The sequence below is a fragment of the Homo sapiens genome, chromosome 6 (assembly GCF_000001405.40).
Source record: "Homo sapiens chromosome 6, GRCh38.p14 Primary Assembly".
Lineage (NCBI taxonomy): Eukaryota > Metazoa > Chordata > Mammalia > Primates > Hominidae > Homo > Homo sapiens.
The window spans coordinates 24,902,479-24,927,390 of record NC_000006.12 but is presented as its reverse complement, the minus strand read 5'-3'; the positions used below and the strand labels follow the sequence as shown (position 1 = coordinate 24,927,390).

At 44.8% G+C, this 24,912-nt stretch overlaps 1 protein-coding gene across 13 annotated transcripts in view, besides 1 other annotated feature; it reads left to right on the top strand.

The window, feature by feature from the left end:
- Positions 1-24,912, top strand: part of RIPOR2 (RHO family interacting cell polarization regulator 2) — a 237,885-nt gene that overhangs the window by 114,778 nt on the left and 98,195 nt on the right. For 2 of the 13 annotated variants that reach the window (NM_001346031.2, NM_014722.5), the window contains exon 1: positions 16,343-16,573. The exons of 9 other annotated variants lie outside the window; for them this stretch is intronic. The gene's annotated coding sequence lies outside the window, so the exon portion shown is untranslated. Of the gene's footprint in view, positions 1-16,342; positions 16,574-16,656; positions 16,844-24,912 lie in introns of those variants that run through there. 2 more of the 13 variants (NM_001346032.2, XM_047419593.1) reach the window with 1 other exon arrangement.
- Positions 8,983-9,482: an enhancer, noted in NCBI's record as "H3K27ac hESC enhancer chr6:24918137-24918636 (GRCh37/hg19 assembly coordinates)". NCBI's record gives its function as "activates a minimal SCP1, AML or CMV promoter by ChIP-STARR-seq in naive H9 embryonic stem cells {active_cell/tissue: H9 hESC(naive)}" and the evidence as "EXISTENCE:reporter gene assay evidence [ECO:0000049][PMID:30033119]".

The window sequence follows — 24,912 nt, the reverse complement described above, 5'->3', positions numbered from 1 at the left end:
TGGTAGTGGTGGTGAGGTGATGATGATGATATTCACGATGATGGTGATGGTGGTGGTGGTGGTGATGGTGGTAGTGATTGTAGTTGTGGTGGTGGTGGTGGTGGTGGTGGTGGTGATTGTAGCTGTGGTGGTGGTGGTGGTGGTGATTGTAGTTGTGGTGGTGCTGGTGGTAGTGGTGGTGGTGGTGCTTGTAGTTGTGGTGGTGGTCATGGTGGTGGTGATTGTAGTTGTGGTGGTGGTGGTGGTGGTGGTGGTAGTGAGATGATGATTATAATAATCATGGTGGTGGTGGTGATGGTGGTGGTGATTGTAGTTGTGGTGGTGGTGGTGGTGGTGGTGGTAGTGAGATGATGATTATAATAATCATGGTGGTGGTGGTGATGGTGGTGGTGATTGTAGTTGTGGTGGTGGTGGTGGTGGTGGTGGTAGTGAGATGATGATTATAATAATCATGGTGGTGGTGGTGATGATGATGGTGGTGGTGATGATGGTAATGGTGAAGATGATGCTGATGATGCTGCTGCTGATGATGATGTTGGTGGTGATGATGATGATGATGATGATGATTAACCACTCAAAAAACTGCTGCGTTTAAAGGGAGATAATGTATGATATACTTGAAAACCATAAGGGTTTACTACATAAATATCAGTTATTATGTAACGGCGATTTTCTCAGCTGTCTCAGCCCCCCAAGTCTATACAATTCCCCTCTTCTATTCCTGGCCTTTGTTAGGAAGAGCTGGCTTAATAAAAGACACAGTTGATTAAAGCAGAGCTATTGCGACTGCTCACCTCAAACACTTTCCTGAAAATATAGAGGTACCTCTGGCTCATGAATTAGCAAACCTGATTGCTATCTGATCTCCACCATGTGACCAAGGCAGGGCTGAGAATAACCCCATTGCTTGGCACAGAATACATACATGATTACTTACCCATGTGCTATTGCTTTAATCAATCTGGTCTCCGCCTGAAAATTCTCTGGGTATCCAAGGGAGAAACATGTACTATGGCAGTTTTATTGTGTAGAGGGGCCCCTTGCCTCCTCCAGAAATGCTGGAGGTGAAAATCATATCTTTAACCGTATCTTTAACAGTATGCAGGACCTATTTCCTGAGTAAATATTTACTTGTGGTAAACACATCAGAGGCACTGCCTCCCCCATCACCACTTTACAGAGTTCTTTTAAAAACGTAATCTGAGAAAAGCTGAACTTTCTGTATTTGTTAAAACATTTCTAATTTAAAGATAACACCCACTGAAAACTTTAATGTTGTATATATTAAGTATTTTAGGACAGCAATTAAGATTTTTAAATGAAGCCTCTACAATGTTCCCTCTAGTGGTGTTTTGTTTTTGTTTTAGATTCCATTGTTTTAAAAATATTTTCAGTGGTAAAACTTCCTGAAAAAAAGATAAGCTGTTTATGTGTATTTGTGTGTAAACATTAATTTTATACAAATGTACAGGACAAACATTAGCTCAGTTGCTTCATAATAATACTACATGTACATGGGACAGAGAAAGAGTGAATAGAATCAATCCTCTGTGAGCTCATTAACAAATATTTATTGAGTGCCACTCATAAAAGTTATGAGAGGGCACATAATTAGTTGGTTAGGTTGAAAACAGTACCAGCTGCAGCAGGATAGACCAAGAATGGATGAACCAAATTTTTTTTTTTTTTTGAGATGGAGTCTCACTCTGTCACCAGGCTGGAGTACAGTGGTGCAATCTTGGTTCACTGCAACCTCCGCCTCCTGGGTTCAAGCGATTCTCCTGCCTCAGCCTCCTGAGTAGTTGGGATTACAGGCATGTGCCACCACGCCCAGCTAATTTTTGTATTTTTAATAGAGACGGGGTTTCACCATGTTAGCCAGGATGATCTCGATCTCTTGACCTCCTGATCCACCCACCTCGGCTTCCCAAAGTGCTGGGATTACAGGCATGACCCACCGCGCCCAGCCTGAACCTAAATTCTCTACACTTCTGGAAAGGCAACTGATGGTGGGTCAGAAGCATCATCTGCCCTATGCAAAAAGACAACACAGCTTGTCCTTTACAACAAGGACTACAATGCAGTAGACACAGATAGCCCCGTGAGTCTTCCTAATATTGATAATACACCCAGAAAGATAGGTGTTTATGCCTTTATGACCCACCAGGTAACACTGAGAACTGCACACAGTGAGTCAGTGGCTTTCTGCACTGCTCTTGGTCTAGGCAGAAACGGATAAGTCATGGCCTCAGGCCAGATCCAGCCAACTACCTGCAAGATAAGAATGGTTTTTTACAGATGAACATTTGCAGTTAATTTGGTGATAGGGATCACTAACCTAGAATCTCAATTAAGCAAAACATTATCCCAAAGGAAAAGAATTCCATTCTTCTCCTTACTAGACCATTTTTTAGAGTACTCAATTATATTTTGAATTTTGTCAATAACAATATGTGAAATTTTATTTTCTTTCTTGTTATATATATTTATAAAATTTCCTCATTTTTATCACTTGGCCCACAAAGCCTAAACTATTTATCTAGCTTTTTACAGAAAAAGCCTGCCAACTCTAGTCTATGTCATCAACTTCCAAATCTTAAGGTCATTGAGAGTTTTGTAATCCTCTCTTCCTCTTCCCCTTTTGTATCATCTCTTTCTTCCTTTTCATGTCTGCTGGGAGGGTCTTATCATTATTAAAGCCCCATGTAGGAAGGGACTTATCCCTTCTTATGATTATTTTAATACTCTTTTAAAGAGAATATCTGTCATTATATTACATTGCTCTGTAATACCAGTTGGAAGGATGATGAAAAATTGGTGGCTAAGACAGAATGCCTTGGGTTGGGGAGGGAACAGAAGGCAACATCCTATAAAAGGAGAAACACCGTAAGACTAAGGATCTTTTCTCTCAGCCCAACAGTAAATCAGGTGAAAGAAGATAGCACACAGCAAGCGTCCAAGGGGTCTTTTCTATTTACACCTCTGCAACATTTCAAGGGACTTCTTTCCCCCATATGATGCTTCGAGTTCACACATCCACAAGATCTGAAGCCCTTAGACCTAACCATAATGCATGATAATGAGTGATAGGCAAGCATGACTCAAAGCTGTCTTTTTGGCTTTTACACACACGCAAGTCCCAATTTACCAAGGAGTGATGGTGCCAGGCCTCAGGGAGCATATCCCAAAGAAACCACAAATTGGAAATGCATTACCTTACGTTAGGAGATTACATGGGATTAGCAGAGCTTTGATCATCCCAAAACAGTGCTGGCTCTTGCCCACTGCCCCATGTCTGTAAAGCAGACCAGCGTGGGTCTGCTCAGCCTGCATGTTAATTCAAGAACAAGAAAGCCTTTTCAAAACAGACACGACAGGAGAGCGCTAAAAGCACTGCCACACACACCCATGCACATTTAGAGGGGCCACATGGTTCCTGGTTGCTACGCATTACAAGAGGCAGGAATGTCGAGCTCTGTGAGGCATTTCTGAGCAGTTCTTCATTTATTTGTTTATTTATTTATTTATTTATTTTATTTTTTTGAGACAGAGTCTTACTCTGTCGCTGAGGCTGGAGTGCGGTAGTGCTATCTCGGCTCTCTGCAACCTCTGCCTCCCAGATTCAAGTGATTCTCATGCCTCAGCTTCCCAAGCAGCTGGAACTACAGGCATGCGCCATCACGTCCCCTGCTAATATTTTGTATTTTTAGTAGAGAGGGGATTTCACCATGTTGGCCAGACTGGTCTCAAACTCCTGGCCTCAAGTGATCTACCCACCTCAGCCTCCCAAAATGCTGGAATTACAGGAGTGAGCCGCCGCGCCCAGCCTCTGAGCAGTTCTAACTTGCTGTGGGGGAGAAAAATCTTGCTATTGAAAAGAGTTAGGAAACTCTCGGCCACTTTTGGTGGGAATGTAAAATGGTACAGCCACTACAAAAAACAGTATGGCAGTTCCTAAAAAAAATTAAAAATAGAATTGCCAGGTGATCCAACAATTCCACTTCTGGGTATATACCCAAAATAATTAAAAGCAGAATCTTGAAAAGATACTTGTATATCATATTCATAGCAGCATTGTTCACAATAGCCAAAAGGTGGAAGTAAATCAGGTATCCACCCATGCAAAATGTAGTACAGTATATACACACAATGGAATATTATTCAGCCTGCAAGAAGAATGAAATGCTGACACCTGCTACCACATGCATGGACCTTGAGGGCATTATGCTAAGTGAAATAAGTCAGCCATAAAAGACAAATACTGTATGAATCCACTTCTATGAAGTACCAAGAGTAATCAAATTTATAGAAACAATAAATAGACGGTGGTTGCCAGAGGCTGGGGGGAGGAGAGAGCAGGGAATTGCTTTAAAGGGCATAGAGTTTCAGGTTTGCAAAATGAGAGAGTTCTGGAGTTTGGTGCAGAACGGTATGAATGTACTTTACACTACTGAACTATACACTTAAAAACAGTTGAGATGGTACATTTTATGTTATGTGTATTTTACCTTTTTTTTTTTTTTTTTTTTTTTGAGACTGTCCTGTTCTGTTGCACAGGCTGTAGTGTGATGGCACCATCTTGGCTCACTGCAGCCTCTGCCTCCCTGGTTCAAGCAATTCTTGTGCCTCAGCCTCCTGGAGTAGCTGGAACTACAGGTGCACGCCAACACACCAGGCTAATTTTTGTATTTTTGGTAGAGACAGGGTTTCACCACATTGGCCAGGCTGGTCTCGAACTCCTAACCTCAAATGATCCATCTGCCTCGGCCTCCCAAAGTGCTGGGATTACAGGCGTGAGCCACCGTGCCTGGCCCCTTACCACATTTTTTTTAAAAAAAGAGTTCAGAATGGGTACAAAAAAAAACAGGAAAGTACCAGGCAATTCCTGAGGGTCTACAGAGCAGTTGCTTTTTCTTGAGCCAGGTAAATTTAACAGTAGGGAACTGAATTTCCACAAAAGATAGAAGTGGTTCTAGGCAGCTGACGCTGACCAAGGCTAAGCATATCTGATGCAATCTTAGAAAGACTGTTTCCTTTATAACAGCGTATGTGAGAGTTACGTATGGGATTCTTGCTACTAATTTCTTCCTAGCTGGGCGTCAGTTTTAGGAACTCTGCAAAAATACTTTGAGATTAGCACTTACTGAGGCTCCTCTAGAGATGAATAGCATAATTAGAAGATGTGTCTCCCTTGGGAGCTTATGAGCTATTTAGGGATATAAATAAGGTTTTTTTTATTATTATTCATTTAAAGAATATCAGCCAGGCGTGGTGGCTCATGCCTGTAATCCCAGCACTTTGGGAGGCCGAGGAGGACGGATCACTTGAGGTCAGGAGTTTGAGACCAGCCTGGCCAACATGGTGAAACTCCATCTCTACTAAAAAATACAAAACTTAGCTGGGCGTGGTGGCACACATCTGTAATCCCAGCTACTCAGGAGGCTGAGGCAAGAGAATTGCTTGAACCCAGGAGGTGGAGGTTGCAGTGAGCCGAGATTGCGCCATTGCACTCCAGCCTGGGCGACAGAGTGAGACTCTGTCTCAAATTTTAAAAAAAAGAAAGAAAGAAAGAAAGAATATCAATTGAAAGTCTTCCACATGCTTGGTTCAGTTCTGTTCTGGCTCTCAGGTACAGCAGTGAATATAACAAAGTCCCAGCCTTGTGAAGTTATATTGCAGAGAAGCGAGGCAGACAATAGACAAGCCTATAAAAATACAGTACATCAGGGTCGGGGGGGGCGATAAGTGTTATGGGAAAAAATTAAGTGCAGGGTGGGCAGAATAGGACATGGTGGTCAGGGAAGACTTTACTGACAAATGCCCAGAGGTTTGAAGTCAAGGTCTGAACATATGGAGGTCTGGGGAGAGTGTTCCAGGAATAGTAAGGAAACCAATGTGAGCAAGGCAGAGAATGGTAGAAGATCTAAGGCTGGGCATGGTGGCTCACGCCTGTAATGCTAGCACTTTGGAAGACCAAGGTTGGAGGATCACTTGAGATCAGGTATTTGAGACCGGCCTGGCCAACATAGTGAAACAGCGTCTCTACTAAAAAAAAAAAAAAATAGCTGGGTGTGGTGGCACGTGCCTATAGTCCCAGCTACTCAGGAGGCTGAGACAGGAGAACTGCTTGTGCTCAGGAGGCAGAGGCTGCAGTGAGCCGAGATCATGCCACTGCACTCCAGCCTGGGTGACAGAGCAAGACTCTGTCTCCTCAAAAAAAAAGAGAGAGAGAGAGATCTAAGAGGTTTTGGGGAGTTCAGCTCCTGTAAAGCCTTATAGGTTACTGTAAGGATTTGAGTTTTTACTCTATGAGATGGGGAGCCATTGGCCAGTGTTGAGCAAAGTAATGCAATCTGATTTACCTTACAAAAGGATCATTCTGACTGTTGTCTTGGAAAGAAAGATGGGGGAATAGGGGAAAAGGTAGGTTAGGAGACTACTGACATATTCCAGAAGAGCTCATGGGATCCTTACCTGGCCTGATACTGGCTGAATACTGGGGGTATGGGAAAAAGTGGTCAAGGATGATTCCAGGGCTTTGGCCTAAGCATCTGGAAGGATAACATTGCTCTTTACTGAAATGAAGACTGCTGCTGGAGGAGTAGACTTAAGGTGAGGAAGGGTATTGCTGTGATGCGGAATCAGGAGTCCAGTTTTGGACAGTTAAGTTTATAGTATACATATAAATTGTGGATGACTTCATGAAGTCCCATTCTAAGTACTCAGAATAGCGAACATTCAGGAAATAGTTGTTGAAATGTTGCCTATAAAGCAGCATATACATAATAGAAAATTATTCATAGATTTATCTCTAGCTTATAGGGATTGGGCTATATAACCTATATGGTGTGTTCCATAAGACCATGAGTTCAGTAATACAATGCAAACTGTTCAGAACACTAAAGGGCAATTTAAGGAAAGATCAGAGGGAAAGGGCTGGCTTCTTGGAGGTGAATATTTGAAGTTGAGAGCTTAATGTCCTGGGAAGCAGTGTTCTGTAAACATGATAATTGTGGGAATGCATCAGGGAATGCTTTATCTTCACATGCTCTCCTGCATTTGGTGCTATGCATACCAAGTTCACATGCTTGCATTTCTTGCCCTTTTGCTCCAAGGCCATACATTCATAGAATTTCAGCTGGAAGAGACCTAAAGAGGTGTTTGGTCTATGTTCCTAACAGAAGGCTGGCAAGCAATCAGCCCCAGTGCTCAGCTCCCTCCCTTTTTCCCTCCAAAGGAGATTTATCTGTCTCCATCAGTCACACATCCATTTAACAGTCAATAGCTAGTAGGCACCACATTTGCTTTTATTTTAACTCAAATCCCACAGGTTATATCTTCAATCACTTCTCTTTATTCTAATTCTGGGGAATAATTGTTCTTCCTTCTGTAAGACAGTCCTCAAAAACCATTAAAATAACATAGTAACAACACCAATAACTCTCCAAACACCGAAATCACCAGTCCAATATTTGTATTCCACCAGGCACTTGAGTCGAATAGTATCTACTGCCGACAAGAGGGCGAGTGTATTCTCAGTGGTGAAGAGGCTCAAACGTGTGTGAATTAGGATATGAAATGCAGGGGCACACGGCCTACAGCTGTTGAACTTGAATTCCTCTGTGAATGCAAACCCCACAGCTGAGAGGCACTTCTCAGAGAGGCCTGTGTACGTTTGCTCTTCTAGATGTACAGGGCTTATCCTCATTGTGACTTAGCCATCGTCTTGTGTGCAGAGAACAAACGAGAGCAGGTGTTCACATTTATCTTCCTCAAGCAGCCCCTTGAGGCTTTTTGGGGGAGGGTCAGGAAAGGAAGAGGCTGAAATACAGCCTTCCATCCCCCAACTCTCACTCCTGCCAGCAGACAGCTGTTTCAGTCTCTTCTTGCTGCTGCTAATGAAAACATAGCCGGGATTCCATAAAAGATATTTAATATGGGATTGCTTGGAGAAGCCACTTTCTTTGGAGATTTGCTTAAACCAAAGCTCTTGGATTTGTTACCATTGCTGTGAAATTTTCATCTCCAGCAGCCTTAGCATGAATGACCTATTTTGAATGTGACAGCGATTACACTTCGGTGGCGTGAATAATTTATTAGGTGCAAGAGCACTGTCAACGTAGTGATATTACAGCAGTCTTGCTAGCCTGGCTAATTATGGAGGATGACAGCACTCTATCCTGTTGTCACAGCTCCTCTCCAAAGCTGCCAGGGATGTGGATTCTATGTGAGCAGAGAAGGAAAGAGGGGCAGTGGGGCCAGGTTCCTGCTACCAAAGAAGGCTTTGTGGGTTGAGCAAGCTGTGCTGCAGGAGTTGGATTTCCACTTTCACCTCTGCAAAGTGAAACTGTGCTGGGCCCATGGGGATGAATCTTGTATCCAGTATCCTGATTTTGCATAAAATGTGTGTTAGTTGGGGGAGGTGCAGGCTGTGAAAGAGTGACTTAGGAAGGAAAGAGGCATTAGACCCTGGAGCTAGCTAGGGTATCTAATGGTTTCCAGGTTTACAGAGGAGGCACAGGCCTTTTTAGCATGCAGCTGGATTCAGAGCCTAGGAGCAGGAGTATGAGAGAAAGGAATAGAGCACAGCCAGGAGGAGCCTCAGTTATGGCTTCGGTGTGTGTTCCCTTGTGTTTTAAGCTACCTTGAGACTCTAGAGCTTTCTCTAGCTTTGCCTGAGTAGTAGTGACAGCTCATTTAACCTTACTGAGACCTCAGTTCCAGATATAAATCAGGCTCCAAAATAATGTCCATGAAGATTTTGAAGTTTAACAGTCAGTGACAAAGTTTTAAGCAATAGGGCTTCTGGGCCTGTAATTCCTCCTAAAAGTAGCTCCTGAAGTTAATGGTCCCAACTTTATGAATTAGGGAGGAACTAAACTTTGGGAAGATCTTTGCATAGGTGGGGGCAGGGAGTTGGAAAAGAATTAAACAGGATTACATGCAATAACATCACTGGCCTACAATGGAAAGAGAAATGAAAATTAAATTAAATTAAAGGAGCTACCTGAAGAAGAAATATTTTTAAAATATGAATGACTGGATAAAAGCAGATACTTTAAATTTTTCAATAATAGGTAATGATTAATGATTATCAATCAAGCCAATGTCAGGAAGCTGACGGCTCCCTCATGTTAGAATAATTCAAGGAAGCTTATTTACAATGAGACGAGTTACAAGGGGGATGGGGATGCAGGGGATACTGGGGCCCAAGGTGACCTCATAGGGAGGAGCCAGGGAATGCATATTCCCACCTCACTTTCATCTCCTGTTGGGGATCCCCATTGGCTAGACCCACCTGGACATCACAGGGCGGCCACTGACGTGGTCCCTACAGGTGAGCCCTCCAGGAGACAGAAGATGGAGATGGACAGAAAGGGGCAACATGGGATAACCTGCAAACCAGGGACTGCATCAGACCCAGGGACACAGAATAAATAAATCACCTTGGAAGACCTTTACAGATACGTCTCTTTTTTTAATGTTTCCCCTGATCATGAGAGAAAAAGGAAAGATATTGTGAAGTGAAAGTCAACTTAGAACCTTTAAAAAAGCCTACTACAGCTGGGCGTGGTGGCTCACGCCTATAATCCCAGCACTTTGGGAGGCTGATGCGGGCAGAACACAAGGTCAGGGGTTCGAGACCAGCCTGGCCAACATGTTGAAACCTCGTCTCTACTAAAAATACAAAACATTAGCCAGGCCTGGTGGTACGCGCCTGTAATCCCAGCTACACGGGAGGCTGAGGCAGGAGAATCACTTGAACCCGGGAGGCGGAGGTTGCAGTGAGGCAAGATCGCGCCATTGCACTCCAGCCTGGGTGACAGAGCAAGACTCCGTCTCAAGAAAAAAAGAAAGAAAAAAAAGCCTACTACATATCAAGTACTTAGCATTGTGCTTACACGTAGATATTGATACTTTCCAATCACTTCTACAACTGCTTTGAATCATGTTATACTTATTTTAATACCTTTGTGCAATAATACATATTGATTAAATGTATGCCATTTACTTTCAGCCTATGGCGTTTAGAACTATACGAATTTGTAAAGTTAACATTTTGCCAACATTTTTGTCCATCTAGATCACTGATTCTCAAAATGTGAACTAAAGACTCATGAGGTTTCCCAGGACCCTTTCAAGGGGTCCCCAAAGTCCTCAATATTTTTTAAAAGCATAAAATGGTCTTGGGACCAAAAATTCAAAAAGGCTATTCTAGATTATGGTATTGTATCAATGGATCTTGAAACCAAGAAAAGGGCCGGGGGAACTGTTGGCCTAGATTATATTATTGCAGAAAATGATCTCTATATGTAAATATGTAATATAATAATAATATATGAGAAATCCAATCTCAAGTTTCTGGAGAGAAGGAGACTGCTATATTTAGAGAATATTTTATTTCCCATCAACTTTGAACATTTCACTGATTGTTGTCTACCTATGCAGCCTTACAGGTCACTTGGTGTGGAAGCTAGAAGTGGGGGTGGAGAGGAGGTTTAGGCTTAAGATAATTTGCCCAAGTACAGGGGACTGACTTCTGAACCTCCGGGACATTCATTCTTGGGACATACTAAAATGTCAAGAGTGTTGGCCAAACAAGTTTCTCATTGTGCAAGCAGATATGTGTGACAATGGCAAGGAAATAGCCTAAGATGTCCACTCCCTTGAGAACCTTATCATGGGTGCCAGACACGGGCAAAGGATAACAGGGTCTTTCTCTTAGCAGTTCAGAAAGCGGTGAGCAAGACCCAGCTGTCACTTGTCGGGTTGAAATATGCTTCTATAGGTACAGTTCAGACACCAATAAATGCAGGCTTGTTATGTTCTTTTTCCAGGGAAAAAGGTGGCAGAAACCAGCAGGGATAGTGTATGCTCTCATTTCTCGTTTAGTCAATATTTATTGGCTATCCTCTACACTCATTAATATAGAGGTTACTATCCTATATGCAGCACAAAACATAGTTCCTGACATCGCAGAGCTTATAAACCAATGAGGAGAAGTGTATTAAATAGCTACAACAAATGGAAGATGTGTGATTGAGTCTGCACTCAGGGGACAGATGACTTACAAGAGGACTCAGGTACAGCACAGATGACCAAGGAAAGTGTCATGAAGGAGGTAATGTTTGAACAGGGCTTCATGGGCCAGGCAGGATTTTTAGAGCCAAATATTAAAGGTAGGAGGAAAAGTGAGGCAAGGGCTCAGCAGAGAATTTTCAGGCAGTAGGAATGGCCTGAGGAAAAAGGTGGAAGCAGGAATTGTCAAATGTTAGAGCCAAAAGAAGCTTTGGTGATCAGGTTGTCCAAACCCTTCGTTTGATAGATGAGGACATAGGTCCACAAAGGCCACTGAGTTCTCTACTGGCAACACTAAAATAGAACCCAGGCATCGACTCTGAGTCCAGCACTTTTTCCAAGACTCTTCCCTGGATGCAGGGTGAGAAGAGCCAGAGCTGAGAGCCTGCATGGCAGAGTGGCGGGGATGCAGCTGGGAAGGCTTCTGGAACCAACTGCAGTGCCAAGGGAGCTGGATGCCTATTTGGACTTGGTTCAGACCAGTGTTTCCTGAAGTGCATTCTGAGATGACTGTGCCAGAACCATCAGTGTGCTTGTTAAAACGACACTGTGTAAGGAGGGGGACCTAAAAATCTGCATGTTAAATTCCTTCCCAGGGTGATTCTTATGCACTTCATAAGCTGGAAAATCAAAAATACAGAGAGACGGGGGCCAGGCACGGTGGTTCACACCTGTAATCCTAGCACTTCGGGAGGCCGAGGCAGGTGGATCACGAGGTCAGGAGTTTGAGACCAGCCTGGCCAACCTGGTGAAACCCCATCTCTACTAAAAATACAAAAATTAGTTGGGAGTGGTGGCGGGTGCCTGTAATCCCACGTAATCCCAGCTACTTGGGAAGGTGAGGCAGGAGAATCACTTGAACCCAGGAGGTGGAGGTTGCAGTGAGCTGAGATCGTGCCACTGCACTCCAGCCTGGGTGACAGAGCGAGACTCCATCTCAAAAAAAAAAAAAAAAAAGTACAGACAGAGGGAGAAAGATTGGTCAGAGCAGCAAATGAAGAATTCAATAGACGTGAGCAATGTGGAGGCCAAAAGATTATACTATTAGAAAGGAGTGCAAAACTCTTAGAACTGGCAGCATTCCAAGCCATATTTTGGCCCTGGATCTGGGTGGCCAAGTGCCTATACAGAAAGGTCATAAGAGTAAAGACCTTCAAGGCTGTTAGATCTGCTGTTCCTATGGATAAGAAGCATCACAGTTATAAAGAGAAATTAGACCTCTGTTGTATCTGCTTACTTGTCTCTAGGACTAGTCACCTGTAAGAATAGAAGCCAAATTCACCAGAACAATAGACACAGGTAGTTACAGAACTATGGTTTTTTATTTCTGCAGGGAATGCAGAAAAAATTATGTGATAGACAGATAGATAGATAAGGGTCGGTAGGTACAACCAAATCTTTAAGTGACCTTCTGATTAGACCTAGAGCACCGACTTCACTTCATAACGGCAGTGGTTCTTCAGGCATGGTCTAAGTTCTTTATTACATATGTGAAGCTGTAAGTCAGGGAATTAAATTGGTTGCATTTTGGCTGCTGTTCTGCTTTCTTCTGATGAATTGTGTATTTACTAGGATTGATCGATGGCAGTAAGAACCATAAGACTTGTTTGGCTGAGTCCGTTCTTCAACCACACACTGGCTTAAAAAGTTCTCATGAGAGGAGAATGGGATACAGTTCAGTTATTAAAAGAGGCCATTTTCAGTGCTGCTGAAGTTCAAACACTTTGTTTTATGGTATAAAAAATAATCACAGTTCCTATAGCACCCATAGTGCTGCCTCCTTCGTAATTCACCATCCCACTTATTTACAACTGTCCTCATCGCCAGGCTCTACAAGGCAGGTTTCACAACTACTGGGCTTACCTCCGGCCCTTAGCAGAGTGCCTGGCACCTGGGTTGCACTCAATTACTTCTTGAAATAATAGCTATTATTACTACTTGGGGTCTTTTTTGTTTTGTTTTGTTTTGGTTGTTGTTGTTGTTGTTGTTGTTTGACACCCAGGCTGGAGGCGCAGTGACGTAATCTCGGCTCACTGCAACCTCCGCCTCTTGGGTTGAAGTGATCCTCCCACCTTACCCTCCTGAGTAGCTGGGATTACAGGCACCTGCCACCACGCCCGGCTAATTTTTTGCATTTTTAATAGAGACAGCGTTTCGCCATTTTGGCCAGGCTGGTCTCAAACTCCTGGCCTCAAGTGATCCACCCACCTCGGCCTCCCAAAGTGCTGGGATTATAGGCATGAGCCACCATGCCCGGCCATTAGGGGTGTATTCAATTTAAAATTTATATGTGAGGGGGGAAAATACCCTGACTTGTATTAAACGATTTCTTCTTTGGAAAGAACCATTCCTTTTCATTGGCCTGAAAGAGCAATGCAAGTGTCTCATGGGTGGGGGTGAGGATACCCACCCCCAATGCCTGTCAAGCTCTAGGCTTCACTGTTTCCCTGGATGAGGTTAAAAGGACCCAGCCGAGATATCTGAGTGCTCTGCTCAGTGAAGTTTTGGGGATAAAGAATCCTGCCTAAGGGATAGTAAGAACCTAAAAGGAAGTGAACAGCATTATAAGAGAGAGAATGGGCGCAAGCAGAAATTAACTACCCAAGAATGAAGACTTTGGTGACCACACAGGAGCAGTGATTGGAGAGGCGGTGTGAAGACCTTTAGACTAAGCTCTAGGAGACCTGGTGTGGGCTTTTTATTTGGTTATATGACCTTAATCTCTGGGATTTGGACCAGGCAATCCAATACACAGTGTGTCGTGGTTGTTTAGATCTGTGCTGCCTGGTCCCTCAGTCACACATGTACCTGTTCTCTGGAGGTACTCTGTGGGAGGAACTGTGGGGTCTACAAAGTCACCCAGGACAGATCCCAATTGCCAGAGCTTCCAGTCTAATGCAGTCAGTTCAGGCCTGTGTTGGCCCTTCACCTTCCATACTCCACACGTTCTGCTCCCTTCCTAAGGAAGCTCCCTCAAGGGGAGATGCAGCCCACTGTGCCCTCTTCATTCCTGTTTAGAGCTTCAGTCCTAAATCCACAGCGGTGAGTGGGGCAACCTCATGGAATCTCTAAAGGCAGCAGCTTGGGGAGCCACTCCATGCTTCTTTCTGGTCTCTGCTCTGTATGTGCACATACACACACACACACACACACACACACACTCAAGTCATGCCCACAGTCATGCCCAAACCTCAGCAAGATACCCCTCAGCCCAATAGGGTAAGTTGGGGGTGGGAGTGGAATGTGCTGTAGTAAAAAGAGCACTTGATTTGGAATCACATCTGACTTTCAACACTAGCTTCATCTTTGTGATCATCAGGAAGTTACTTGTTCATCTTCTCAGAGTATCAGTAGTCTTATCTTTTAAGTGGAGGCAGCTATGGGAAAGAGATGACAGGCTTCAGTGGGATAATATCTATAAAGTACCTAACATCATCTGCCTCATCTCTCTTTTCATCCTCTTCCTCCTCCCTCTCATAAAAGGTTATATGTCACTTACAACAGTGCCATTCCTGAGTCAGGAAGGTGATGGGAGTGGGAAGGTGGGGAAATACAGTTGGCTTCTCTCCAGGGTGGATGTCAGGCCCTTCTCCCTCCAGATTCGTCCTATGAGACCATTAGTACTGTGCTAATCCGTAGTAGCGCTTTACTCAGTTCTCCCCAAACTTCTACTGCATATTTGTACTTCTTTCCAGGTCTCTTTCTCCAGACTCCAGTAAATAGAGAAATGTTTGGAACCATCCATCTCTACACAAATAGTCATGATACAAGGTGGAAGGTGTAGGCATCTGGAGAGTAAACTAAGGTGCTATAAAAGCTCTGAAATGAAAGGGCAAAAAAAAAAGGGGGGGGGCAAGGGATCTTGGAAAAATGGATGCAGATTAAGGTATTTAAACTGGATCCTAATGAATAGATGTGGCCATTTGGAAATGAGCAAAAGCTATGTGGTTGCAGATAAGTTGCAGGGTGGGGTTGGCAAGGGAAATAAAAGGATCAATGTAAGAGTGAAGGGGTGCTTCAGAATGACTGGGTGATCCATCTTTCATTCAATATGTAGCTATGGAGTGCCTGCTCTGTGCTGGGGACAGCTTATATCAGACAGAGATGGTCCCTGCCCTATGAACTCACAGTCTAGTAAAGGCATGCTCTTGGGCGTTCTTTCTGGGGATCAAGCCGATTTTGCCCTTTCTGTTGTATTCCTAGGTGAGTTATGACACAGTTTATCAGGCGATGGTTCTGGCTGCTTGTATTCCAGCCCGAGGATGCAGTGCCCAGACCACGACTGGATGTGGGTGTTTCCCATGTTGACATGTCTCCTAGGATGTTCCCTTTCGGCTAATGTCTCAGCTCACTGATTATTACTGATCCTTTCACAAGGTGACTGAATCTCAAGTGGTGTGGGAGGGAGTGGATGTGTCTTGTGGTACTATTCTAGTTAACATATTCTAAATACACAATTTATTCATTATGATCACTTAACAGATGAGGAGACTGAGGCATAGCAGGGAATCCCTATGTAAGGATGGAGACTGAGTCAGGACCTTTTCCCTGGGTCCTTGTCGACTCCCAGTTCCATACAGTTTCCACTCCAAAAGGCCCTTTTTTGGGAATGTCTGTCTATCAGGCAGACCCATGCTTTCCCCACAGGAAACCTTTATCATTCAAATCCACCAGAACAAAATAAAAAACAATTCTCTTTCTGCCATCTTTATGAGAGCTGTGTCCAAAGCAGCCCCGGTAGAGAGAGTGCCCTACAAAGCAGCCCTCTTCAGCGGGGCTTTCCAGCACAACCCTTGCCGTGGGCAGCCAACCTCACCCTCACACCGCCCCCACCCCATACACCACCGCCTCATTTTTTTCAATGCACAGCCCAGCTTGTATGAAAGATCCCAAAAGGTTAGCTGAAAGGGCCTTTCCTTGCCTCGGCTCCTTTCCTCTGCCCTCTCCCTCCAGCGCGCTGGATCCACCGGGCTCGCTCCCCGGCGCGATTCCACGGGTCACTCCAAAGCTGCCGCGCCAGCTCTTGCAAAGGAGCCTGGCGTGCCGGCGATCAGCTGGAAGCAGGCACCGAAGCGCAGCCTCCTGGAGTTGGGCTGAAGTAGCTGTCAAGCAGCTGTCTCCACCCGCCCTCCCCTCCCAGCACAAGTGACGCCGCCGGCCCCCGCGCCGCGCCTCCCCCTCCTCACGGCTCCCGCCCCTCCGCCCGCTCCGCCGCTCTAGCTCCGCGCTCCGCCACCCTCGCGCCCGCCAGCCCCGCAACTTCACCCCGCGCGCCGCAGCTGCTGCGAGCGGACGCGGCAGGGCAGCCGGCGCTGGGGACAGCTCGCGTCCACCCGACTTCCTCCCGGGGTCCCCTTCACCCAAGTGAGCCAGCTCAGGCTGTCTGCAAAGCCGGAGGTGCGGGCAGCTCCGGGCATTGCATTGGTGCGGAGGCTTTTATATGCCAGAGAACCCTGAGTGTGCCCCTGACATGACAAGGAGCCGTCGTCGTTAGGTAGGTTCACCTTTTCATTTCTCCTTTTTTGCTTCTGATTTTGCGTACAACGCGGTGAGGTCTGTGTGGGGAGGGGTGTCCTCGACTTGAATGAGCGTTGAATGCTAAGCAGCCGTTGAAACTGGAGCGTCCTCAGCTTCCACCACCCTGGTGGGTTCGGGCATCTGAAGCCCACAGGGTACGGTCGGGAAGTTGCTGAGCGAAAGGGGCACGCGCACTTTTTGCAAGCAGAACTGAAGGATGCCCTGGGGAGTGGAGGAACGGGCCAAGGTTAGAGGGGCCCACAGCATTGCCCGGGGTTGGGACATTTCTGGGGCGAGGAAGCGCCGGGCCCCGGGAGTCAGGGAGGGGTGTGTGTGCGAGCGCCCCCAGATGGGAGTCCTGGGTGGCCCCCTGGCACGGAACGACTTCGGCACTCGCAGAGCCTATGGGGAATCCAGCTCAGGGCTGGGATGGCAGTCTCAAGGGTCTTCATTTGCCCCCGGGCTGCCCGTTTGAGCTGGACTATGAACCAGCTCGTTCCTCACCGTGTCTGAATTCCAAATTGGCCAGGTGGAATGGGAGGATGAGAATTGGGAAGAGGGGCAAGAAAGGAAAAAATGTGTTGCTTTGATGCCGATCTGTGTCTGGAAAGATGGGGGGAGGGGATGCACCTGAGGACAGGAGCACCCTAGCAGGAGTCCGTGGCATGGGAGGGGGCTGGTCAAGCGGAGCATGTGCAGCTCTCTTGCCCGAGACGATAACCTTCTAGCTCCCTCTTACAGGGCAGTGGGCAGCAGATAGAGACCCCTCACGTTCGAAGGGAGTAGGTGCATTTTGAAATTAGATAAGCAGAAGTCATCAGGTGCTAAGGTGGCAGAGGCGCTGTGAGAAGTGACAGCTCCCTGGAGAGCGAGAGAGCAAGTGGAAAAGCAGGAGAACCGGGCTGATTCTGCTGGGATGGGGGTGGCGCAGAGTGAGATTGGTAGGCTCGTAGGTCCCTGTCTTGGAGATACCTACATGTTGCTTGAGTGACTGAGGAAAAATGTTCAAGCTTTTAATCTGGGAAAACAGTTATGATAAAATATATGTTGGGGCTGTTTCCTCCCTGCTCCCCACTTCCTACCCTCTTACGTCCACACGCTTGGTAGAAGGTCTAGGATTGTGACTAATCACTGCCCCCATTCTGAAGAAATTGTACTTGGCCATCTCTATGGGACTGGGCATCCTGTGTGAGCGTCTGCTCGATTGTTAGCTGACACACAATCATTTCTTCCCTTTTGTTTTCTATCGGGTCTGTCTTGCTCTGAGAGTGTACCCACCTCCTTCCCTCCCCTACCCGGGTATTCCCACTCACTCAATTCCCCTCTTCCCCTTGCTCCTCCAGCCATTTTGGACCAGCCTCTGAGCTTGCCCACTCACACCATCTACTTTCCTCAAATTGTATTTTAGCTGCTGTCACAAGCAGGGGATGTCAGCCACGAACTCTCCGAGAACCAGCACCATCATGGCTATTCTCCAGTGGTTAATTAGGAAGCATCAGTAGTTATCCTTCTGTAGGAACAAACTGCAGGGATGTACCAACTTAGGGTAACAGCAGCTTGAGGAACTCCCCTATCTGAAGCCCCCATCTCCCAGCACTCAGGATTAGCTTTCTGTGCTAGCTTCCCCTTCAGTTGCAATAGTGTCAAATTGTGTCCTTTCCCCCAGGAAGATAATGCATCTGCCTGTCCAAAAATTTACTGCATCCAAACATCTGAAAACTTGAACATTGGAGAATCTGTTTAGCAAAAACATACTGCATATGTTGCTTTTCCAAAGGACCCCCCAATTGCTGTTGCTTCTCTCTTCCTCTGACACTCTAATGTGAGATTTCGCTTTGAATATTTTATCCTCAGTATAAATAAAAAGAAATACCAAGCTACAGAGAAAGAAAACCGAAAGCATGCGCTAGGGAGTTGCATAGAATTCTGATTACACAAACACAATTCCAGAAATGGCTCTCCTTCCTTTTGTTAACTGCAAAGTGAAGTTATTTCCAGCAGAGAAGGGACCCACCCAAGGTTGACCTGGAGAAGCCAAGGAGGCTGGGGGCGGGTGGAGGGAGATATTTATATCTGTGGATCTTGTTAGCTAAACTCTCATAAAAATTCTTCTCTTTAGTATTCATACCCATTGACCTGGGGCCCTGCTAATCACTGCCAAATGTCCTTCCCTAAATCTGAGGTCACTAAAGTGGAAACATCCCTACTACGATAAAACCCCACAGCCCAACTGTGATACCAACTACATGCCCACTTCTAAGTATAACCAAGACACTTCTCTGTTACACTTTGTGTTAATTCACAGATTATTGGTTCACCCCTCTGTCAAGAGACTAAAATATAGACAAAGGCAACTGTGCAGGGTGAATAGCACAGACTTCAGGTTTTATATTAAATGGCTGAATTGTACATACAATAGTCCCTTGGGTTGAAGGGTTTGCAAACCAGAGTTTTATTTAATCATTTATTGCATTCAATGGATTATCTGTTTTCATTCTGAAAAGAAGTCAGAAGTCTAAAAACAGTTCCTTGCTTTTCTTGGGAGGAAGTGGTGATAGAAGTGAAAGTCCGTTTTATTTACACAATGGGTGCCCCTCAGGGCAATGGCAGATTTGACTTTCTACTTGGGCTTCCTGCACCGGTGGTCCTGTGAGTAGGGCCTCGTGCTTGTGAACAGCTCCTTTACCAGGCTTATTTTCATCTGCCAAGCTGAGCTCCATGAGCTGGGGGAGATAGACAGCTTGTGTTTGTGGCCATTCAACCAGAAAAGAATAACAGCTGAAAACAGACAATGGAGCAAGGGAATTGGGGTGGGGTGGGGGTGGGGAGAGGAGGTACAGATAGCCCAGTCACTCATAATTGGCTCCCCAAAGGCAAACCTAGGTGTAGAATGGTCTCATAAAGCAGTTGTCATGTAAACACCCTGCAATGTGATTATTATAAAGATCTGTTCAGAAAAGGAGAATGATCATGAGCATATGCCTTTTCATCTGGAAGGAGCCCTTCTTTTGGCTTCATTTCTTCATTTCATTTACTTATAGGCAGTTTCTTGAAACAACATTTTCCCCCTGAAAACAAGAACCTCACTGTTATGCATATGGAAACCTTCAAGTTGATTCAACTGAACAAAATCACTCAATGCATCATGTATCTCCAGTGAATTAAGCATGAAACCCTCACATGTCCTCTTCCCTCTTCTGTGTCTCCTCTCTGCAGCCACCAACTTCTTCTCTGGGTTCATGGTCCAGGTTTTTGTCTTGTTTTGTTTTGTTTTTTGGTCACAGTAAACTCATCTCACTTAGGTTGGAAACATTCCCTAAAAATAATACATGTTTTCCTGAGTGCGGCAGGCTATCTACAAAAAAGATCATTTACACATGGCCCTGTGCTGGATTTAATTCCCTCTAAGGAAACCGGGAACACTATGAAGAAAAGAAGCTGCTCCAATTTATTTTATTGTGCATTGTTTACATGACACCGATGAGTACTGTGTGGAGGAGATGAATGTTTTCACAAGTTCATTACATTAATTAAATAGGAAATTAGATTTTTTTCAACAGTGAAAGCAAATGAGGTGCAATATTTCTATGTTGTGTTCCATTAGATCAAAATGAGTTCTCTACCAGACCAAGGAGAGAGGAGTCTCAGAGGAAGTTATTTTGTACACCATTTAGCATTCTAAAACTGATTCACAATCATTTTTAATTCTGAGGTGGATTTTAAGTTCAACTCTGTAATGTTATATAATTTGGGAGAATCCCACTTTTGTTTCAACTTAAGCATGTGTTTACTGGGCAATTATTCTAAGGTCTGGTCAAAGTTAGACATCGCATTCAATATAAAAATATAACATATTGGCTGGGCACGGTGGCTCATGCCTGTAATCCTAGCACTTTAGAAGGCTAAGGTGGGAAGATCGCTTGAACCCAGGAGTTTGAGACCAGCCTGGGCAACATGGTGAAACCCCATCTCTATGAAAAAAAAAGAAAAATTAGCCAGACATGGTGGTGCATGCTTGTAGTCTCAGCTACTCTGGAAGCTGAGGTGGGAGGATCGCTTGAGCCTGGAAGGTCAAGGCTGCAGTGAGCAGAGATAATGCCACTGTACTCCAGCCTAGGTGACAGAGTGAGACCCTTAAGAAAAAGAAAAAGTGTAAGATATTGATTATACCTTCTAGGGAGCACAGTCTGGTGGAGAAGTAGGAGGAGCACAATTGAGTTGGATAGGTGACTGGATGTCCTGGTTTGCCCCATAGACACCTGTTGTTGCAGCATAATTATTAATAGCACCACCTTTCACTCAGAGGTGTTGCAATCACACAGTCACCCTAAAGAAAAGGACTATGAGAGGTCAAAGGAAGAAGGCTGTGATTGGAGTAGTCAATGAAGATTTCATTCATGTGCCTATTCTAAGATTACAGGTAAATGGAAAGGAAAAGGGACTATTTACCAGACAAAAAGACTAGGAAGACTGTGAGCTCCCTGAAGGCACAGAGGGTCTGTTTTGCTTGTTCCTATATCCTTGGGACTTGCATGCTGCCTACCCAATGGTAGGTATCAACTATTAACTAACTGCCTGTGAACCTAGATTTAAGATCTAGACTGAAGGTAGGAAAGTTAGGGACAGTCAAAAGGCATGTCTTGCAAGGAAGGTCAGATAAGAACAATTGTGAAACAAGGCTACTATTAATGATGATGATACTAGAACAAGGTTGGCCAATGACCATACCGAAAACCAACCTTATGTACTGAAAAACAACAGTGTCTTTTAATTCTTTCTTGTATTTGCCTCTTCACTTTTGGGTTTAATGCTATTGGCCTTTACCTCTACCCCTGGAAGTGATCTCTTCCTTCTCAAACAAATTGTTTTGGATGTTAAATGAAGAAACAATGACTCCATTCTCTTCAAGCTTGTCTCCTTCTGACCTTGGCTTCCAGGAGAGCTCTTGGAAGGAAGGCAAGGGCAGGAAAGTGGGGAGAGTACCTGAGAAATACAAAAGCAAGGCAGAGAAACGCTAAAAGCACACGTGATTTTCCTCCTCCTACTAGGAGAAATAAATTCAAAGTGACAGTTTCCTGGAGCTCCTGGAGCTAGTGCAACTCCCAAGAGGTCAATTCCAGTATGACGCTTGATTTATCTACTTTTTGCTACATATGAAGTCCTGGAATGACTTGGCTTTGGCCTTAGCTGTGACAGTCTACCTTCCAATTAATGTATACTCACACTAGGTGCCCTGCTGATATGCAGAGGTTCAAGGTTAACCTATCCTACATGAAGATTCCAAGATAACTACCAGCTGTAACCCTTGAATTGCAGTGCCGTATTTTTAGTTTATAAAGTTATTGGCAGCATTTTAGCCAATTTGATCTGTATCCTCCCAAGTTCTCATCTAATTTAGAGTTGTCTCGGTGATGCGTCATCCTCAGAAATAAGTGGAGCTTAGAAAAAAAGAGAGATGAAGCTGAGGTGATGGACACCCACAGGTGATCCAACATTTCATCAGGGCTCAGTTGCAGAGAATAGAATCTACTCAGCAGAAAAGATATAAAATAAAAAGGGTTACAGGATTGTTGGGTCAGGAAGGCCAACCAAATGCTCTCTAAGTTGAAGGATAAGGAAACACACTCTAGGTTGAGCTTTTTGGAACACCTAAGAAAAGTACATTGTAAAACAGGGCTACTGGAGCCACTGCCTAACCTATACTCAAGAAGCTATACACTGGCCGGGCGCGGTGGCTTACACCTGTAATCCCAACACTTGGGGAGGCTGAGGCGGGTGGATCATTGGAGGTCAGGGGTTTGAGACCAGCCTGGCCAACATGGTGAAGATTCATCTCTACTAAAAATACAAAAATTAGCTGGGCACGGTGGTATACGCCTGTAATCCCAGCTACTCAGGAGGCTGAAGTAGGAGAATCATTTGAACCTGGGAGGCGGAGGTTGCAGTAAGCAGGGATCACACCACTGCACTCCAGCCTGGGCAACAAAGCGAGACTCCGTCTCCAAAAATAAAAGAAGCTGTGCACTGATTTGAGAAGCTACTGGCTCCAGAATGAGACTACCACTAGCATGGTCAGGAAAAAGCCAGCCAGGAAGCCACTACAGAAAAAGCAGATATTCCATGAAGGTGGCTGCCAGCAGTGACAATAAAAGAAGCAGAAGTCTGCTATGGTAGGCAAAATAATGCACATCCACCACCCCAAAGATGTCCATGTCCTAATGCCAGGAACCTGTGACTATGTCGCCCTACATGGCAAAAGGGACTTTGCAGATGTGATTAAGTCAAGGACTTGACAGTATCCTGGATTACCCAGTTGGGCCCAATCTAATTCTATTTGTCCTTAAAAGCAGAGAACCTTCCCCTGCTATGTCAGAGGGAATGTGACTATGGAAGAAAGATAGAAAGATCAGGGAGATGGAACATAGCTGACTTTGAAGATGGAGGAAGGACCCACAAGGGAAGGAATGCAGGTGACCTCTAGAAGCTAGAAAGGGCAAGGAAACAGATTTTCTCCTCGAGCCGCCGGAAGGTAACACAGCCCTGCCAACACCTTGATTTTAGTCCAGTGAGACCCATTTTAGACTTCTGTCCTCCAGAACTGTAAATATATGTCATTTTCACTTTAAGCCAGTAAAATTGTGGCAATTTGTTACAACAGCCATCTGAAACTCATACACACAGCCTTGCCCCCGCTTCTACCTTCAATCTTGTGCAAGTGCATTTGACGGAGACCCCAACTCACACATGGAATCCTAGCTGCAGGGGATTCTGGGCAGTGCAGTTTTCAGCTTCCCAGCTCCAGTAAGGAAGGCAGCAAGAAGGGGTTGGGACGATGCTGAGTGCCGATCACTCTATCTGACGCAGCTGCCACTGAAAGTCATGAGGAAATCGGGGAGCTGCTGGTCTATGTGCATGGCACGATCCTTCTCTGAGGGACAGTAGCATGTGGCAGAACACAAGTGGATGCCTGAGATTTTTAGGAAGTTTAACGAGTGTTAAGTCATTAAGATACAAAGGGGAGGTAGGGGAGAGGCATCAGAATAGTTGCCTGTTTTACCACATTAGAAGTTACTCTCTGGAGGATACCCCCATTTATCTTGATGTAATTATTATTTATTGTGTGCCTGTATCAAAATGTCTCATGTAACCCCTAAATATACACACCTACTGTGTACCCATAAAAACTAAAAAATAAATAAGTTAAAAAAAAACAAAAAAGAAGTTGCTATCTGGAGATTAAGGAGAGATTTTATGTAAGTATCCATTTCAGGGATAAATATTGAATTTCTAAAATTTAACCTTTAACTACTTACAGTCCATCCATATGGCAGATTGGCAGATTATATTTTCCAAAGATGCCCTCAGTAATAACTCCCACCCCGCATGATCTTTCAATAAAGTGACTCTGATACTCTGATACATGGAGAGATGGGGGTTTATGTTCTCTCCCCTCAAAACTGTGGCTTTCTCAATCAATAGAGAATGTGATTTCTAAGGCTAGATCATAAAAGATCATTCAACTTCTACCTTATTGGCTGGAATACTAACTCTTGAAGCTATCAGCCACCATGCAAGCAGTCTGACTATCCTGAGACTACCATGCTAGGAGGAAGCCCAAGCTACCTGATCACATAGAGAGACCTGAGATGATAAGAAAGAGAAAGATGCCTGGCCAGCCCCCAGCTCCTCCAAACCCTGCTGTTCCATGTCCAGCCACCATCTGACTGAGGAGAGACCCTGAGCCAGAACTGTCTGGCAGAGGCCTTCCCAATTCCTGACTCACTGCTGTTGTTTCAGGCCACTACATTTTGGAATGATTTGTCACACAGCAATAAATAACTAGATTGGTTTATACGGTCAGACACAGAAAAAGGTCAAATATGACCACAGTGTTGTGTTATTCCTATCAAATTTCTTCCCTGTGAGGTAAATAACATGATAGTAGCAGTCACAGAACAGCCAAATCTAAAGCTCACCTTCTCCTCCTGCAGAACATTGGTCTAAGAAACCCATTCTTAAATTGTATATTAGAAGCAAACTGTTGCACATTTTGGTTTGTTTGCCGGGGGAGGATTTGGGAAAGTGGAGTTGGTACCATTGAGAAGGAGTTTAGTTTCAAACTGGCTAATCTAGCATGTGAACAAACAGGAATCCAAATAACTTGTTTTCAAAGCAGAGCTGTCTCAATGTAGCAAGTATAGGTAGTGCAAACCTTACTTCAGGAAGTGTCCTCAAATTGGGGTCCCACTTAGGAGATGGAGAAAAAGAGAAGGAAAAGTGCCAGTCGCGGTGGCTTGCGCGTGTAATCCCTACACT